Source organism: Homo sapiens, chromosome 15, assembly GCF_000001405.40.
Source record: "Homo sapiens chromosome 15, GRCh38.p14 Primary Assembly".
NCBI classification, from domain to species: Eukaryota; Metazoa; Chordata; class Mammalia; order Primates; family Hominidae; genus Homo; species Homo sapiens.
Window position 1 is genome coordinate 90,866,708 of NC_000015.10, and position 17,239 is coordinate 90,883,946.

At 57.3% G+C, this 17,239-nt stretch overlaps 1 protein-coding gene across 8 annotated transcripts, besides 10 other annotated features; it reads left to right on the forward strand.

Annotated features, from left to right (window-relative positions):
• The first annotated feature begins 1,880 nt into the window (after positions 1–1,880).
• Positions 1,881–16,750, forward strand: FURIN (furin, paired basic amino acid cleaving enzyme). 8 transcript variants are annotated; one of them, NM_002569.4, is made up of 16 exons: positions 1,881–2,004; positions 8,875–9,210; positions 9,548–9,646; positions 9,755–9,850; positions 10,189–10,317; positions 10,428–10,504; positions 10,820–10,908; positions 11,425–11,597; positions 12,057–12,269; positions 12,737–12,837; positions 12,964–13,067; positions 13,160–13,277; positions 13,387–13,566; positions 13,984–14,108; positions 14,223–14,333; positions 14,579–16,750. In NM_002569.4, exons 2-16 carry the CDS (start codon positions 9,034–9,036, stop codon positions 15,169–15,171), a joined length of 2,385 nt encoding a protein of 794 aa, NP_002560.1. In that variant the 5' UTR covers positions 1,881–2,004; positions 8,875–9,033; the 3' UTR covers positions 15,172–16,750. The 8 variants fall into 8 exon arrangements, 7 of the variants coding, with proteins under 7 accessions (NP_002560.1, NP_001369551.1, NP_001369548.1 ...); NM_001382622.1 differs by having other exon boundaries at positions 14,223–14,329; NM_001382619.1 differs by lacking the exon at positions 1,881–2,004 and adding an exon at positions 4,345–4,443.
• Positions 2,413–3,612: an enhancer, noted in NCBI's record as "CDK7 strongly-dependent group 2 enhancer chr15:91412350-91413549 (GRCh37/hg19 assembly coordinates)". NCBI's record gives its function as "activates an origin of replication core promoter dependent on BRD2, BRD4, P300/CBP, MED14 and CDK7 cofactors, with strong dependence on CDK7, by STARR-seq in HCT116 cells {active_cell/tissue: HCT116}" and the evidence as "EXISTENCE:reporter gene assay evidence [ECO:0000049][PMID:35650434]".
• Positions 2,855–2,904: an enhancer, noted in NCBI's record as "active region_10094". NCBI's record gives its function as "activates an Ori minimal core promoter by ATAC-STARR-seq in GM12878 lymphoblastoid cells {active_cell/tissue: GM12878}" and the evidence as "EXISTENCE:reporter gene assay evidence [ECO:0000049][PMID:35858748]".
• Positions 2,972–3,266: an enhancer, noted in NCBI's record as "tiled region #8172; HepG2 Activating non-DNase unmatched - State 20:ReprD, and K562 Activating DNase unmatched - State 1:Tss". NCBI's record gives its function as "activates a minimal TATA promoter and a strong SV40 promoter by Sharpr-MPRA in HepG2 and K562 cells {active_cell/tissue: HepG2 | K562}" and the evidence as "EXISTENCE:reporter gene assay evidence [ECO:0000049][PMID:27701403]".
• Positions 3,005–3,114: an enhancer, noted in NCBI's record as "active region_10095". NCBI's record gives its function as "activates an Ori minimal core promoter by ATAC-STARR-seq in GM12878 lymphoblastoid cells {active_cell/tissue: GM12878}" and the evidence as "EXISTENCE:reporter gene assay evidence [ECO:0000049][PMID:35858748]".
• Positions 3,052–3,346: an enhancer, noted in NCBI's record as "tiled region #3826; HepG2 Activating DNase matched - State 20:ReprD, and K562 Activating DNase unmatched - State 1:Tss". NCBI's record gives its function as "activates a minimal TATA promoter and a strong SV40 promoter by Sharpr-MPRA in HepG2 and K562 cells {active_cell/tissue: HepG2 | K562}" and the evidence as "EXISTENCE:reporter gene assay evidence [ECO:0000049][PMID:27701403]".
• Positions 4,623–4,832: a silencer, noted in NCBI's record as "silent region_6828". NCBI's record gives its function as "represses an Ori minimal core promoter by ATAC-STARR-seq in GM12878 lymphoblastoid cells {active_cell/tissue: GM12878}" and the evidence as "EXISTENCE:reporter gene assay evidence [ECO:0000049][PMID:35858748]".
• Positions 4,873–5,512: a silencer, noted in NCBI's record as "silent region_6829". NCBI's record gives its function as "represses an Ori minimal core promoter by ATAC-STARR-seq in GM12878 lymphoblastoid cells {active_cell/tissue: GM12878}" and the evidence as "EXISTENCE:reporter gene assay evidence [ECO:0000049][PMID:35858748]".
• Positions 5,613–5,802: an enhancer, noted in NCBI's record as "active region_10096". NCBI's record gives its function as "activates an Ori minimal core promoter by ATAC-STARR-seq in GM12878 lymphoblastoid cells {active_cell/tissue: GM12878}" and the evidence as "EXISTENCE:reporter gene assay evidence [ECO:0000049][PMID:35858748]".
• Positions 6,063–6,112: an enhancer, noted in NCBI's record as "active region_10097". NCBI's record gives its function as "activates an Ori minimal core promoter by ATAC-STARR-seq in GM12878 lymphoblastoid cells {active_cell/tissue: GM12878}" and the evidence as "EXISTENCE:reporter gene assay evidence [ECO:0000049][PMID:35858748]".
• Positions 16,846–16,975: an enhancer, noted in NCBI's record as "active region_10098". NCBI's record gives its function as "activates an Ori minimal core promoter by ATAC-STARR-seq in GM12878 lymphoblastoid cells {active_cell/tissue: GM12878}" and the evidence as "EXISTENCE:reporter gene assay evidence [ECO:0000049][PMID:35858748]".

Consider the following 17,239-nt stretch of genomic DNA (forward strand, 5'->3'; position numbering starts at 1 on the left):
TCACGCCATTCCTTTCCTTCCCTGCCTAGGACGACCTTACAGCCCATGATCGCTTTTCTTCTTCTTCTTCTGTTTGTTTTTTCTTCCTGTTTTCTTTTTAAGTACTACAGTGACCCCTTATTTATTCAGCAAAGAAATGGACTACTCCACAGTAGTGAATTTTCAAAATAATGCCCTTCAAGCACTAAAACTTTAAACAACACATCTTCAAAACAGCTTTGCTGAGGTATAACTGACACACTATAAACGGCATGGATTTAAAGTGTACAACTTGATATGTTTTGATATATGGACACACCCATGAAACCATCACCACAATCAAGATAATGAACATGTCCATCATTCCCAAAAGTTTCCTCCCGCCCCTCCCTGCCCCCTTCCCCAAGCAAGCACTGATCTGTTTTCCAAATACGTCTTTAATGCTACAAGGGCTCACACACCTCCCCACCTTAGAAAATGGAGTATGATCAACATGATTGATCCTTTCCTTGATTCAGCATTATCACCAACACGATGGAAAGTGATCTCAGATGTCATGAGGATGCATGATTGTTTGCCCTGATCACTAAACGGCCCATTGTTGTGCTGGCATACTGGGCAGTTTCAAGTTTGGGAGTTTTCTCCCTCACTGCTAGCTGTCTCAGAGCTTAGTTCCCAGCAGACAACTCTTGCTGCCTCGAACCCTGGCACACTAACCACCATCCTGTGACGTTCCCACTCCTCATTCTGCGACAGTGGTTCTTTGCTGGGAGAGATTTTTGTCTCCCAAGGGACATTTGGCAATACCTGGAGATCTTTTTGGTTGTCATCATGGGAGCGGGAATGCTACTAGCAGCTAATGTTTAGTGACTAGGGATGCGACTGAACATCCTGCAATGTAGAGTGCAGTGTCCCCTACAGAGAATTATCCGACCCAAGATGTTGATAATGCCAAGGTTGAGAAACCCTGTTCAGGATGACAAACTGATTGAAAACTCAACAAGGGGACCGGGCGTGGTGGCTCACGCCTAATAATCCCAGCACTTAGGGAGGCCGAGGTGGGTGTATCACTTAAGGTCAGGAGTGCGAGACCAGCCTGGCCAACATGGCAAAACCCCATCTCTACTAAAAATACAAAAAAAAAAAAAAAAAATACGAGTGGCGTAAGCCTGTAATCCCAGCTACTTGGGAGGCTGAAGCATGAGAATCGCCTGAACCCAGAAGGCAGAGGTTGCAGTGAGCTGTGATCAGGCCATTGCATTCCAGCCTGGGCAACAGAGCGAGACTCTTGTCTAGAAAAAAAAAAAACAAACCCATAAAACAAACAAACAAAAAAAACTATGAGGATTGAGTGATTCACATTTCTGAATCGAGAGAGAGAAGGATGGGCAGCAGGCTTGTTGAAGCTGGAAGGCCAGGGAGGTCGCAGACTGAGGAAGACCCTGGTGTGTCCCAGGTACCTCCATGCAACCCTACTAGAGAGGTGGTCTCTGGCTTCCTATGGACAAGCTCTAAGGGACCCAGCTATGGGGCACCAGAGCCCAGCGTTCAGCAGCTGCTCAATGAATGTCTGCCAGGCGAGACTGCACCCAAAGCATTTATTAGGTACATAATTGTGGCAGCACTGGCTGGCCATGGAAGGCAAGGCAGAACACAAGGAGCTGGAGCTGGCGGAAGGAAGTCATTAAGTCAGCCAGTGGCTGGGATGCAGCAAAGCCAGGCAGAAGGTAAGTGCAGACCCACCCCAATAAATGAGGAAAATGAGAAGGGCTGGCTGGCCATGTTAGGATCCAGTTCCAGTGCGACCAGATATGTCACCACCACATCACTTTTAGCTCCTCCCCCCACCCACAGACACCCTGTTTGCCTGTCATATAAAGAAGGTTTTCCCAAAGTGGTTTAGCCAGAACTGGAAGGGCCCCGCCCTGTGAAGGGATAGGAGCCTGACTGTTGCAGCTGCAGTGAGTGGCGGGGAAGCAGCAGCGGCCAGGATGAATCCCAGGTGCTCTGGAGCTGGATGGTGAAGTATGGACATGCTTTATTCGATTTTGCATTGACTTAAAGGTTTAATTATTTTAGGAGTTCTTGTAGACATTCCTGAAAAATGCAGGTAGGCAAAAAGAAGAAAACAAAGATCGCAAATGTGACCCTTTCATTCGGAGAGAACACCAATGGAATTTTGTTGTGCACCCTTCTATGCACGTCTGAATGTTGTGTAGACATTCTGCTTACAACTAGGTGTGGGTGCTGCTGCCGAAGGCTTTATTTGCTGTGCCTGAGGTGGACCAGAGATTTCAGAGAAGACTCCCAGAGCACCCCAAGGAGACAACAGGAGTGCTTGGAGTCAGGATGACTGGGTGGATTTAGGACTATGTGATTCTCAGGAGCCTCTCTGGATTAGCCCCAAATCAAGGATAAAGAGAGGCCTAGCTGGACTCTTCCTCCCAGAGCCCTGCTGGGAAAATGGAGCCCCTTTACAGCCCCCACTTACCCATCAGGCCCTGCTCCTCTCACTCATCTCCAGACTTCTGTCACATGCCCAAGTCCTGCTAACTGCTGTGTAAAACTGGTAAGGTGGGATCCAGAGGACCTTGGGCCCCTAGGGCCCCAGGTCAGGAGACCTGGGCTCCAGGGCCAGTTGAGAGTGATAAAGAGAACAATACCTGCCCACAGGACTTGTTGCAATGAGATAAAGGCAGAAGTCACCAGTTGTGGTCAAATGGGATTTTTTTCCAGAGAAGTCTCACAGAGAGTGGCTTTCAAATTCTTTTTAGCAGCAGAATTGTTGTAAAATACAATCTCATGTGAAACCCTAAAATGTGAGACACTCTGGGTGAAGCAGAGAGAGGTGCTCAACTGCCCAATCCTGTCCTCATTCCTCCCTCTCAGGGAGGCACCTCTGAGAACCCACTTTAAAGAATTTTGCCTTATGCAGATTGAAGAGGCAAGCTGGCTGGAAGAAACTGGGAAGCTCCACTTCCCACCGCCTCTGCCTGGGTGGCAGTCATCTGAGCCTAGGCTAGCCCCTCCCCCTCCAAAGACCCACTGCGGGCTCCCCTGGGGCCAGTCTCCAGGATGGGTGGGGCACCTGAAGCAGCAAGTATTGCTATTTTTCTGGGCTGACCTTTCTTCTAGGCCTGAGGACAAGTGGGTAGGTGGGGCCAGCCCTGTCCCTGTTTCCCCTCAATGGAGTTCTCTTGCTCACAGCCTAAGGAAGAAGCGTGAGTCACTTCCTGCCTCAGTCTGACTGCTGGAGTATTGTTCTCCCAACTGTGGCTGGCGCTACCCAGTGTGGCCCCTACAAGTCTTAGTTCCTTGGCGGAGGGGAAGTCCCCACTTTGGGACAAGGCCAACTGGACTTATCTTCCCGCTCAACTTTGAGGACCCAGCATTGTTCCTCCAGTTTCCAGTTCTTGCAGTGTTTGTAAAGGTGCCCGAATCGTACCTGATCCCATTCACTAAATATTATCTCCATTTTATAGAGGGGTAAATTGAGGAAGTCCCTGAGAAATTAACTTGTCTAAGGTGTCCCAGCAAAAAATAGTGCCCCAGGGATTTGAACCGGTTTGCTGATTGATTTTTCACCAGTTGCCTTAAGAATTATCATGATTTAACCTCTCTGGGCCTCAGTTTCCTCCTCTATAAAATGCAGACAGTGATACATCAAAGGTACTTAAAGGAAAATGTACTGTACCCACCTCATGGGGCATGTGGTGAGGATAAAACGGGTTGACACAGGAAAAGAGCTCTCAATGGTGCCTGGCTCATAGAAAACACTCAGTGGATTTTTTTTTTCCCATTACCCGGGAACCTGTGTTAAGGAGGCCACAGGCTGATCCTGTGCAGCCAGGTTATCTCACAGGGAGCGAGAAGAGATGGGCACAGGCTACTCTGCGACCTTGGAATAACCCAGCCTGGGAAGCTCCTGGCCACATTTTCCTTCTTTTCTTTCTCAGCTCAAGCAGCGTCGGCCTCAGCCAAGTAGCACAAACGTTTTCTAGGGCCCAGGGAGGGAGAGGCTCCGGCTGGTATATTGCAAGTAGCTTGGATTCAGGCTCTGCCAAACACCCCAGTCTCTTGCAGGATCTGAGGTCTGCTGGTTGTGGGACTTTGCGCAAATTATTTAAACGTTGTGCGCCTCAGTTTCCTTATCTGTAAAATGGGATTAATAATCTCAGCCTGAAAGGATTATGTGGATTAAATCATGTACATAAGAAGGAGATAATGTAAAGTGACTGGCCTGGTGCCTGGCAAGCGGTTGGTGTCTAAAAAGAAAAAAAAGCTAAAAATATTAAAAGGAGGTGGGCTACTTCTGCTCATATATCCACCTGTCTATACAAATGCAGACGAAGTCGTGACTCCTCTAACAGTAGGCCAAGAGGAGGCTGGTCCTGCCGCCGTGCAGTCCTCCCTCGACCTGGGAGTGGAGGACCCCAGGTCCGCCGTCCCTGGGCACTTAACCCGGTCAGGCTCAAATTCGTCGCCCAGGAGTGGGGAAGCGGGGGACGGAGAGGGCCAGTCCCCCAAGAGTCCGGCTGAGGCAGGGCTCGGAGTGCCTCCCCCAAGCCTTTCCCTTTGGTTCCGAGTTCGGGTCTCCGCGGCCGTCTTCCCGGGGAGCTCGCGGGGCGAAGAGCCGAGCCCGGGGGCGGGGGCACGGCAGCGGGGCCTGAGGGACGCGCCGGGCGGCCGCGAGGACTTTGGGATCGCCTGCCCCACTTCCTACCTGCCCCTACCAGGAGCCGGAGGCAGCGGGCGCCCCAGAAGGCCCCGCAGGGCCGCCGCGCGGGGCCGGACGCGCTGGGGCCCACGGCGCTGGGAACGCGGGCCCGCAGTCGGGCCCGGGCGGCATGGGCGGCCGAGGGGCGCCCGAGCCGCCGCGGCGGTCGCCTGGAAAAGTTTCCCCGCCAGGGCTCCCCAGGGTAAGTAGCGAGGGCGCGGGGCCCGGGGCCCGGGGAAGGCAAGCGCGTCTGGGAGCCGGGCCCGAGGGGAGCCGGCCGGGCCGGGCCGTGGAGCTCTGCCCCAGGAGCGGGCTCCGCGGCCCGGGTGCTCGGGCCGGGGAGGGTCGGGGCACTGGCGCCGGTGCAGCCCTGACCCGGGTCCCCCGGGGCCCGGCTGCCCGCCGGCTTTCCGGAACTGGCCCCGGGGCCGGCCCCGAGGGTGGAGCTGCCGGGAGCAGACAGGGCGCTCCGCAGCCCACCTGAGCGCGCCGGGCCCGTCTCGGCCCCCCGGCCGTGGCTGGTACTTTTCCGCGTGGGGCCAGGGCGAGCCCTCTGACCTCAGGAAGCGCCTGCGGGGCCCCTGCTGGGGGCGGGATGGGGAGAAAATTCCGCAGGCGCCGGGTGCTCCAGCCTCCCCGCCGCCACCGGGGCTGCCGCCGGCTCGCCCACTCCGCGGCCGAGGAGGGCCTGCGTTCCGCCCGGGGAGGGGAGGAGCGGCCGGGGGCGAGGCGGGGGCTCCTTCGCTTGGGCCTCGCCCCCGCCCGCACACCTGTGCGGCCAGGACTCGGGTGCGGGATCCGCGGGCGCCGGCGGCCGGCGCAGGTAGGTCCCTGGGCTGCCTTCTGCCGCGGCCTGGCCGAGGCCCCTGTGCCCCCGCTGTGTGGCTGGACCAAGGGGCGGCCTGCTTGCCAGACAGGTCTGACGGCAGTCACTTGTCTGGTCAGAACCCGCTTTCCCATCATCCTCTACCCCCTGGCCCCTGGGGTGCAGACCCTCATCCACCGGAGAGTGTTGGGATTCCTATTCTGACTTGGGAAGTGCGAGGAGAACCCGGGTGATATGGCCTGGTGAGGGCGGGTGCTGAGCAGGTGTGGACACAGCATAGGAGATTAGCCAAGCCTGACCTCTTCTCAAGCAGGGCAGCCCTCGTTTTACTATTTCCTATATTGGGCTTCTACGGAGCATTTGATTTTTAAAAAGGATTCTGTGGCTTTTTAAAAAGTTTGAAAGCCGCTGGTCCAGCAGTTTTTACCACCAAGGAAACTGAGGCCCAGGGAGAGGAAGTGACTTGTTAAGATCATCCAGCAAATAGTGGGCAGGGACTGGGAGCGATAAATTCACGGGAGCCTCCCAGGGCTGGTAACAGGACCCCGCGTGGTGTCTCTGCTAGAGGGAGAGACTGATTGGGTGTCCGAGTGGCCCTCCCGTGGCCTGCTCTGTGGCTGTGTCAGAGCCAGACCCCCAGTGTCTGGGAAACAGCAGTCGGTCCTGGGGTGAGGCGCAATTTGAGTGGCCCAGAGTGGCTCTCTGTGTCAGGAGGTTCTGGTGCTGGAGAAAAGGGCTTTGCCCAAGAACACAGCCAGGAAGAGCACCCACAGCTCTCTCTGGCCACAGCCTGGAACAGAGTCCCATGTGAAACAAGACCATGAGAAATACAGCAAGCCTCCAGGTTTGAGACAAACTGGGACTAGAGGGTGAGTCAGAGTCTGGGATGGGGGTGGGGAGAAACCCATTCATTCATTGTTTTCAGTTCTTACTCTTTTCGGGGATCCTCCCTTGTCCCACATGCTGTGGCAGAGCCGTCTGTGGGGGTCTCATTTTCTGGAAGCCATCCCCACCCCTCACCATGGCTGGGGTTGTTGGATAGAGGGAGGCTGGCCCTCTTTCTTTGGGGGGACTGTTCAGTTGCGCCTGACGCCTGCTTTCTTTCCGAGTGCTGCAAGGTAATTAAATAGTTGGTTAATCACTTTTAACGCCAAACAGCTGCGGCTCCATCTACAGTGTGCTGGAATCTGGGCTAGACCCAGATGAACCCAGCCTCGATTTGGGGGCTCCAGCAGGACTCACAGCACGGTGGTTGGTGGTGGTGGGGGCAGGGGGGTGGTTGCATGACATCTGGACCCAAGAGGCAGCTGTTGTGGCAGCAAGAGAGAGGAGAGAGATGAGGCCCCGTTCCTATATGGCTCTGCTCCCAGGGTCCCACATCCTCTGTTAAATGAGGGACTTGGGGTGGGGGGGGCGGTCCTTCCATCCCCTAGGGCTGGGGCGCCTAGCTGCCCAGCCATTGATCAGGCCAGCTTTCTGGAACCAACCACCCAAAGCACCATGGGGCTGTGGTTCCGAGGCCTGCCCTGGAAGTCCTGTGGAGTCTGCCCGCAGGGATGTGCAGGAGCTGTATTGTAGATGTCTCCTGCCATCAGCTGTCAGGTTATTTTGGTCCAAACTGAAAATACTCCAGGAATTGTGTGTGGAGTACCCCCAGCCTGCAGGGTGGGACTGCAGCAGTCAGGGAGGCCGGTTGTGTCTAAGGGCAGCTTCTGGAGAAGCAAGGAGTTTTCTGTGGTGAGCCTGCCTCTCTAGCTCCCCAGGGCCTACGTGAGCTGGGGTGCCTTCCTTTTGGTATCCGGCAGAGTGGCCTTGGCTATGGAAGTGCTAAGGGCATCCAGGGCCCTGCTGCTGCTCAGGGAGCTTGGCACTGATATGGGATACCCCCAGCAGCACTGCTGGGACCTCCCCTAGCTTCCCCCCCTTCCTCCAGGGCCTTGGCTTCTGGCTAGTCAGGGGCACTATGTGGGGACAGTTATGTGGCCCCGGGCAGAGAGAGGTCCCGCCGTCTGTTTGCTGAAGGAGGAAAAACAACACTCGGACTATTGATTCAGTCTCACCTTGGCGCTCCTGGCTCAGCAGCCAGTGTTTGCCCTGGCTGCCTGGGCTCGGATTACGCAAGGCTGGTGGGCGTGGAGCAAGCAAGGGGGCAGCTGGGGGCCTCCAGGCCCAGGCAGGGCAGGGCTTGGCGGCCCCAGCGTTCCCCAGGAAACTGTAAAAACGAGTCTGGGGCCCTGACTTTGCTGATAGCGGCCATCTCAGCCATAGAGGGAGGTGAAGCCTCTGTGATCTCCACCCCCGCACCCCCTCAGGACATGGCCCCTAAAAGCACCATCCCATTTAGGGTCACCCATTTTCTTCCTAGGAGCTGTGGGGCTTTGCGAATAACTCCCTATGGCTGAATCTGCTTTGCTGAACTAGGAAACCCTAGTGAGTTGTATAGATGCCATTCATTTAAGAACCTTGAAAAGCCAACATCTTATTCCCATGTAAAACATACCTAGGTGATTTGGAGAATACAGTGACACAAAGAAGAAAATAACAATTACTTGTAATTCTCACCATCTTGAGAGAACCACCGTTAACATTTTTTAGCGTGTGTATCCTTCCAGATTTCGCTTTAGTTTGTATAAATATACATGTATAAATAGTTTTTAAAAAATAAAATGGGATTATGTGTACATACTGCTTTATAATGCATCTTCTTTACCTTGATCATGGTGAACATTTATTCATTTGTTGTTTCTGATTTTGAGTGACTCAGGGCTTGATAGTCTTCATCCTGCTTCTTCTGTTACACTTTTTTTTTTTTTTTTTTTTTTGAGAGGGAGTATCGTTCTGTCGCACAGACTGGGAATGCAGTGGCGCGATCTTGGCTCACTGCAACCTCCACCTCCTGGGCTCAAGCAATTCTTGTGCCTCAGCCTCCCAAGTCGCTGGCACTACAAGCACCCGCCACCACACTTGGCTCATGTTTGTATTTTTAGTAGAGACGAGGTTGCACCATGTTGGCCAGGCTGGCCTCGAACTCCTGACCTCAGGTGATCCACCCGCCTCAGCCTCCCAAAGTGCTGGATGACAGAAGTGAGCCACCATGCCTGGCCCTTCTGTTACATTTCTTATATTCTTGCATGGAGAAAGGATTGGGGGGGATTGTGAGGGCATCCATCTGTCCATCTATGTGGCTGGCCTTGGGGGCTAGATTTCTTCTGGGGAGGACTAATTTTTTTACCCTTCTCCCCCAGATCTCATTTCAGGCCCCAATTGAAACTTGGGGTGGGCAGGGCAGCTTTAGTGCGTAGCAGGGGAGGAACTGACCCTCTCTCCCCTTTTCCCCTCTTGTTCCTCTCAGGGTCGGCACTCTTCACCCTCCCGAGCCCTGCCCGTCTCGGCCCCATGCCCCCACCAGTCAGCCCCGGGCCACAGGCAGTGAGCAGGCACCTGGGAGCCGAGGCCCTGTGACCAGGCCAAGGAGACGGGCGCTCCAGGGTCCCAGCCACCTGTCCCCCCCATGGAGCTGAGGCCCTGGTTGCTATGGGTGGTAGCAGCAACAGGAACCTTGGTCCTGCTAGCAGCTGATGCTCAGGGCCAGAAGGTCTTCACCAACACGTGGGCTGTGCGCATCCCTGGAGGCCCAGCGGTGGCCAACAGTGTGGCACGGAAGCATGGGTTCCTCAACCTGGGCCAGGTAGGTGTTCCCCCACAGGACACTGCCAGGGGGTGGGACCAGAGAAGACAGGGATTCTGGGAGCAGGAGCTGTTGGCCTTGTTTGCTCAGGGGCATCTGGGTAGCCGGCATGTTCTGGGTGGCCATGAGCAAAGCACAGGTGGTTCAGGCAAGCAGCATATCCCAGTGAGAGTGAGTCCTCATGGTCCCCGCATTTTGCTGGGTCCCGGACAGGGAGCAGATGCCCCGCACCCCCGACCGTGGCGAGCCTCCCATGAAGCCGTTGTCCACCCCCGTCCCCCGCCTCCCGGGGACTGACAGATGGAAAGCCCAGCTCAGTCTCCCTGCTCTATTGCAGATCTTCGGGGACTATTACCACTTCTGGCATCGAGGAGTGACGAAGCGGTCCCTGTCGCCTCACCGCCCGCGGCACAGCCGGCTGCAGAGGGAGCCTCAAGTGAGTGTGGCCCCAGCCCCCTCCTGCTGCCACCCTCCCCCTCCTGCTCTCAGGAGCCCCTCTCGCCTCCTGCTCCACCCACACCATCTCTCCCTCACTCCCCCACAGGTACAGTGGCTGGAACAGCAGGTGGCAAAGCGACGGACTAAACGGGACGTGTACCAGGAGCCCACAGACCCCAAGTTTCCTCAGCAGTGGTACCTGGTACGTGGCCTTCTTCGCTGCTGGGACCTCCTCCCCAGATGCACCATCCACCCACTATGAGCTCTTGGATGGAGGAGGCTGTCTTCGAGGCCTCCTCTGATTCGTTTCCTTTCCTCCTGCTGGGCAGTCTCTCCTTGGCCCATCCTAATAAGCAAGCCTGGGGGTGGCCCTCCCAGAGTCCTCTACATTCCCATGGAGTCCAGACAGCCAGTGGCGGCCTTTCAGGAGCAGGGATGGTACAGGAGGAGGTTTTACGGGGGCAAAGGGATTCTTCAAGATGCTCCTAGCCTCACAAAACCAATCATGTCTCATAAGTGATGGGGTGGGTGTCTCCACAGTCTGGTGTCACTCAGCGGGACCTGAATGTGAAGGCGGCCTGGGCGCAGGGCTACACAGGGCACGGCATTGTGGTCTCCATTCTGGACGATGGCATCGAGAAGAACCACCCGGACTTGGCAGGCAATTATGTGAGGAAGTCGGGGAGGGAGGCCGTGATCCCTGCTGAGGTGTGTCTAGAGGCTGTCTTGTTCTATCAGTGAGGTCAGCCTTCTCCTGATGGTGGCCAAATCCTTCTTAGGATCCTGGGGCCAGTTTTGATGTCAATGACCAGGACCCTGACCCCCAGCCTCGGTACACACAGATGAATGACAACAGGTAAGAAGTGGCAGGCCCCGGTCTCTGCCTCCCTTCTCCTTTCTTCCACTAAGGAACAGGGCTGAGCCTGGGTGAGATGTGCCTTGCCTAAAAGGCTGAGGCTTTTCCCACAGTCCTGGCCCACCTGGGGCTCTGAGGGAGGGCTCGGTCAGAGTGGAGATGGCCACAGGCCCAGTGGAGTGTGGGAGATGGGGGCTGGGTACTCAGGGGATGATGGGTGTCGGATGTGCGGATCCCTCGTGCTCCTCAGGCCACATCTGCCGGGCCCTGTTCACCCCATTTGTTCTACTCATGCTACGTGCTTGGCCCTGGCAGGCACGGCACACGGTGTGCGGGGGAAGTGGCTGCGGTGGCCAACAACGGTGTCTGTGGTGTAGGTGTGGCCTACAACGCCCGCATTGGAGGTGAGTGTGGGCCTGGGCCACCCTGTCTTCAGGAGGGCCCTTCAGTGGAATTTTTCCCGCCCACTTCCCATCTGGCCAATGCCTGCCACTTTCCCACTGTGGATCCTTTGATCACGTGGCTGTTCCATGGAGGGTTCCCAAAGGGTCAAAGACTGAAAGAGCTGGACCCCTGTGGAGTGAGGGTTTCCTAGCAGGAGTCTCCTGAAATCCTCACGACCCACTGTGAGTCCTCACGTGGCAGATCCTTGATCACCAGGCTCTTTTGGGAACCAGAGACTCTTTCTAGTCCTGAATGTGTGGTTGGGGGCAGGAGGTGTTCTCTTTTTCCTTCTCTGGGTCTTGTCTTTGAAAGGCAGAGGCAAACAGGTAGTTGGGGGTTCAGGGTTTCTCAGCATCAGCCTCCACCCTTCCCTTACTCATCCCCTGGGGTGCAGGGCTGGGTGTGCTCCTTGGGGTGGGGGCCCTGACAGCTGGACCCATGCAGCATCCCTCTTCGTGCCCCCCCTTCACGGCCAGGGGTGCGCATGCTGGATGGCGAGGTGACAGATGCAGTGGAGGCACGCTCGCTGGGCCTGAACCCCAACCACATCCACATCTACAGTGCCAGCTGGGGCCCCGAGGATGACGGCAAGACAGTGGATGGGCCAGCCCGCCTCGCCGAGGAGGCCTTCTTCCGTGGGGTTAGCCAGGTGAGGTGGGGATCTGTCCAGCCCCTGCGGGCAGGTTGGGTGCTGTCTTCCGTACCTATCTTGTGTTTTTTGGTTTGTTTTATTTATTCTCATGTTTAACTTTACACAAAGCATGTTTATTGAAACATTAAGGGACAGAAGAAGAGTAGAGTGCATATACCACTTGGACTTGCCTAATTAAAAAACACATTTTTTTTAGAAATGAGGTCTTGCTGTGTTACCCAGGCTGGTCTCAAACTCCTGGCCTCAAGCGATCCTCCCGCCTTGGCCTCTTGGTCTGATTTTTTGTGTGCCTAGATAGACATATTTGGATACATACTTGATCCACCAGGGATCTCACAGGGGACAGGAGGTTCCCAGAGAATGAGGCTCCAGCCTTCCCAGTTTTCCAGCAGTGTCCTCCTGCCAGCCCTCCCTCAAGTCCCAATCTTGAATGACCCCAGCCCACTCTGTCCACAGGGCCGAGGGGGGCTGGGCTCCATCTTTGTCTGGGCCTCGGGGAACGGGGGCCGGGAACATGACAGCTGCAACTGCGACGGCTACACCAACAGTATCTACACGCTGTCCATCAGCAGCGCCACGCAGTTTGGCAACGTGCCGTGGTACAGCGAGGCCTGCTCGTCCACACTGGCCACGACCTACAGCAGTGGCAACCAGAATGAGAAGCAGATCGTGAGTCTTACCTGGGGGTGGGGGCTGGGGAGATGGGGCTGCTGGCTGGCTCTGTCCAGCACCCTCTTTTGGAGGCTGTCTGCCTCCACCCCCATGTGGCTGGGTGATAGTGGCTCAGGCATCATGCAACATGAACTCTGGGGCTCTGTAGGTTCTTGGAGGCCATGGAGCCATCTCTGAAGACTTTGAAAAGCCTAGACTCTCTCTAAAAACATACTTTGTTCTTATTCATCTCCACCCTCTAGTTGAACCCCCTTATTCCTTTGGAAAATGAGGCCCAGGAGGGGCTCGTCATTAGCATGTCCACGGCAAGTTAGCAAGGCAGCAGCTGGGACCTGGGGTTCTTGGCCCTGGCTCCCCATACCATCTGTGGTGCCCAGGGCCTGTATGCAGAGGGAGGGTAGGCAGGTGGCTCCTCTAGCCCCCTCCACCCATCACAGGCCCCAATATGATTCTCTTCCTGGCAGGTGACGACTGACTTGCGGCAGAAGTGCACGGAGTCTCACACGGGCACCTCAGCCTCTGCCCCCTTAGCAGCCGGCATCATTGCTCTCACCCTGGAGGCCAAGTAAGTGGGTGGGGGCCAGCGGCAACCCTGTCCCTACCAGCACTCTCTGTAGGGCAGCCCTTAGGGCAGCTGGAGAGCTGCTCCCAAAAAAGACTGATCCCCAGCCTCTCCCTTCCTTCTTTGCAGTAAGAACCTCACATGGCGGGACATGCAACACCTGGTGGTACAGACCTCGAAGCCAGCCCACCTCAATGCCAACGACTGGGCCACCAATGGTGTGGGCCGGAAAGGTGAGGGCAGGCTGGCCCGGCAGGCTGGATGTGGAGTTAGGTAGAAGGCACTCTGTGCCTGACAGCTGACCCTACCTTCCCTGTCCCCACAGTGAGCCACTCATATGGCTACGGGCTTTTGGACGCAGGCGCCATGGTGGCCCTGGCCCAGAATTGGACCACAGTGGCCCCCCAGCGGAAGTGCATCATCGACATCCTCACCGAGCCCAAGTGAGGGCTGGACCCAGGCTGGGAGGGGGCCAGTGGGACCTGAGAGTCGCAGGGGGTGCCCGCTGGTCCCTCTGGGCCAGGCTGACCATCATGGTGCTCTCCTGCACAGAGACATCGGGAAACGGCTCGAGGTGCGGAAGACCGTGACCGCGTGCCTGGGCGAGCCCAACCACATCACTCGGCTGGAGCACGCTCAGGCGCGGCTCACCCTGTCCTATAATCGCCGTGGCGACCTGGCCATCCACCTGGTCAGCCCCATGGGCACCCGCTCCACCCTGCTGGCAGCCAGGTGCTTGCTCTGTCCCTGCCCGCCCTGCCCAGCGCCGCCGCCTCTCACAGCCCGCGTGCTTGCCTTTGCTCGCTCACACGGCCCAGGGGGCACTGAGTGCTACTCAGTGGGGCACTCTTGGCATTTTGGGAGGGACAATTTTGTCCTGTGGGACTGTCCCATGTTGCAGGAATCCCTGGCTTGCAACCATTTAATGTCAGTAGTGTGCCCCACCTTGTGCGGTGCCTGTGTACCTTTCTAGAATCCCCCAGTTGAGCACGTCTGGCTCACTGAGAAACAGCCAAGCCAGCAGGCACTTCTGGCCCCATGGGGTTGGTCTGCGTGGGGGAAGGGTGTGTGGCCCATGTGCTGTGGGTTAGATGTCCCTGGCTTGGGGTCCCGCAGAGGCCTCAGGGCTGTGTGCACTCCCCTCCCCAGGCCACATGACTACTCCGCAGATGGGTTTAATGACTGGGCCTTCATGACAACTCATTCCTGGGATGAGGATCCCTCTGGCGAGTGGGTCCTAGAGATTGAAAACACCAGCGAAGCCAACAACTATGGTACTGGGGGCACTTGAGGGGTAGGGGTACGAGGTGGAGGGCTGGCAGGATCTCGAGCACTGGGTGTGGTGCCAGCACTGTCTTAACTCTTGCCTCCTCCCCGCTCTGGAACAGGGACGCTGACCAAGTTCACCCTCGTACTCTATGGCACCGCCCCTGAGGGGCTGCCCGTACCTCCAGAAAGCAGTGGCTGCAAGACCCTCACGTCCAGTCAGGCCTGTGTGGGTCAGTAGTGGGTGCTGTTGGGCTTTGGGGGCCTGAGTCTGGGGGTAAGGCGGGTGCCTGTCCTGAAGCCCAGCTCTAACAGAAAAAAGTCTCAAGAGACCTAGGGCCCCTGGGGCTCTTGGGATGACCACAGTCCTGGGGCTGGAGGATCCTGGGGATGTGGTGACTTGGCTTGGGGCTGCTGTGGTCCTGGGGCTACAGTCTGTTTAGCTGACACACACTTGCCCTCTCTCCCACGCCGGCAGTGTGCGAGGAAGGCTTCTCCCTGCACCAGAAGAGCTGTGTCCAGCACTGCCCTCCAGGGTTCGCCCCCCAAGTCCTCGATACGCACTATAGCACCGAGAATGACGTGGAGACCATCCGGGCCAGCGTCTGCGCCCCCTGCCACGCCTCATGTGCCACATGCCAGGGGCCGGCCCTGACAGACTGCCTCAGCTGCCCCAGCCACGCCTCCTTGGACCCTGTGGAGCAGACTTGCTCCCGGCAAAGCCAGAGCAGCCGAGAGTCCCCGCCACAGCAGCAGCCACCTCGGCTGCCCCCGGAGGTGGAGGCGGGGCAACGGCTGCGGGCAGGGCTGCTGCCCTCACACCTGCCTGAGGTGGTGGCCGGCCTCAGCTGCGCCTTCATCGTGCTGGTCTTCGTCACTGTCTTCCTGGTCCTGCAGCTGCGCTCTGGCTTTAGTTTTCGGGGGGTGAAGGTGTACACCATGGACCGTGGCCTCATCTCCTACAAGGGGCTGCCCCCTGAAGCCTGGCAGGAGGAGTGCCCGTCTGACTCAGAAGAGGACGAGGGCCGGGGCGAGAGGACCGCCTTTATCAAAGACCAGAGCGCCCTCTGATGAGCCCACTGCCCACCCCCTCAAGCCAATCCCCTCCTTGGGCACTTTTTAATTCACCAAAGTATTTTTTTATCTTGGGACTGGGTTTGGACCCCAGCTGGGAGGCAAGAGGGGTGGAGACTGCTTCCCATCCTACCCTCGGGCCCACCTGGCCACCTGAGGTGGGCCCAGGACCAGCTGGGGCGTGGGGAGGGCCGTACCCCACCCTCAGCACCCCTTCCATGTGGAGAAAGGAGTGAAACCTTTAGGGCAGCTTGCCCCGGCCCCGGCCCCAGCCAGAGTTCCTGCGGAGTGAAGAGGGGCAGCCCTTGCTTGTTGGGATTCCTGACCCAGGCCGCAGCTCTTGCCCTTCCCTGTCCCTCTAAAGCAATAATGGTCCCATCCAGGCAGTCGGGGGCTGGCCTAGGAGATATCTGAGGGAGGAGGCCACCTCTCCAAGGGCTTCTGCACCCTCCACCCTGTCCCCCAGCTCTGGTGAGTCTTGGCGGCAGCAGCCATCATAGGAAGGGACCAAGGCAAGGCAGGTGCCTCCAGGTGTGCACGTGGCATGTGGCCTGTGGCCTGTGTCCCATGACCCACCCCTGTGCTCCGTGCCTCCACCACCACTGGCCACCAGGCTGGCGCAGCCAAGGCCGAAGCTCTGGCTGAACCCTGTGCTGGTGTCCTGACCACCCTCCCCTCTCTTGCACCCGCCTCTCCCGTCAGGGCCCAAGTCCCTGTTTTCTGAGCCCGGGCTGCCTGGGCTGTTGGCACTCACAGACCTGGAGCCCCTGGGTGGGTGGTGGGGAGGGGCGCTGGCCCAGCCGGCCTCTCTGGCCTCCCACCCGATGCTGCTTTCCCCTGTGGGGATCTCAGGGGCTGTTTGAGGATATATTTTCACTTTGTGATTATTTCACTTTAGATGCTGATGATTTGTTTTTGTATTTTTAATGGGGGTAGCAGCTGGACTACCCACGTTCTCACACCCACCGTCCGCCCTGCTCCTCCCTGGCTGCCCTGGCCCTGAGGTGTGGGGGCTGCAGCATGTTGCTGAGGAGTGAGGAATAGTTGAGCCCCAAGTCCTGAAGAGGCGGGCCAGCCAGGCGGGCTCAAGGAAAGGGGGTCCCAGTGGGAGGGGCAGGCTGACATCTGTGTTTCAAGTGGGGCTCGCCATGCCGGGGGTTCATAGGTCACTGGCTCTCCAAGTGCCAGAGGTGGGCAGGTGGTGGCACTGAGCCCCCCCAACACTGTGCCCTGGTGGAGAAAGCACTGACCTGTCATGCCCCCCTCAAACCTCCTCTTCTGACGTGCCTTTTGCACCCCTCCCATTAGGACAATCAGTCCCCTCCCATCTGGGAGTCCCCTTTTCTTTTCTACCCTAGCCATTCCTGGTACCCAGCCATCTGCCCAGGGGTGCCCCCTCCTCTCCCATCCCCCTGCCCTCGTGGCCAGCCCGGCTGGTTTTGTAAGATGCTGGGTTGGTGCACAGTGATTTTTTTCTTGTAATTTAAACAGGCCCAGCATTGCTGGTTCTATTTAATGGACATGAGATAATGTTAGAGGTTTTAAAGTGATTAAACGTGCAGACTATGCAAACCAGGCCCAGTCTCCAGTGTGGTACCGTTGCTCCTGCATCGCAGCTGAGGATAGGGGGCCAGTTAGGCCTACACAGTGGCCTGCCTGCCTGGATGTGGGCCCAAGTCAGAAGGCCAAAGTCCTCCAAGGGGCGGGAGGATGCGCCAGCCCCTAGTGGAGGAGCTGGTGCCCCTGGGGTGGGGCTGGTGACCCCTGGTCCTCAGGAGCTGAGCACTAAACTCCCAAAGTCCTGGTTTCCAGCAGTGTGAAGAACTGGGCCTATTGTGTCTTCCTGGGCTGAAGTGATCTGGTCGCCACAGGCTATAGGGCTGAGGCCTAAGGTGGAGGGAGGCCTGACTGAATCAAGATGACTTCTTGTGGGGAGCCTGAGTCCCAAATGGAAAACTCCACGCCTGTCCGCTCCCCAACCCCTGCCCCTTGATTTCCCCAGGTCTCCCTTGGGACAGGAAGCCCCTGCCTGGGGGTAGGAGGATGGGGACAAAACCACTAGGAT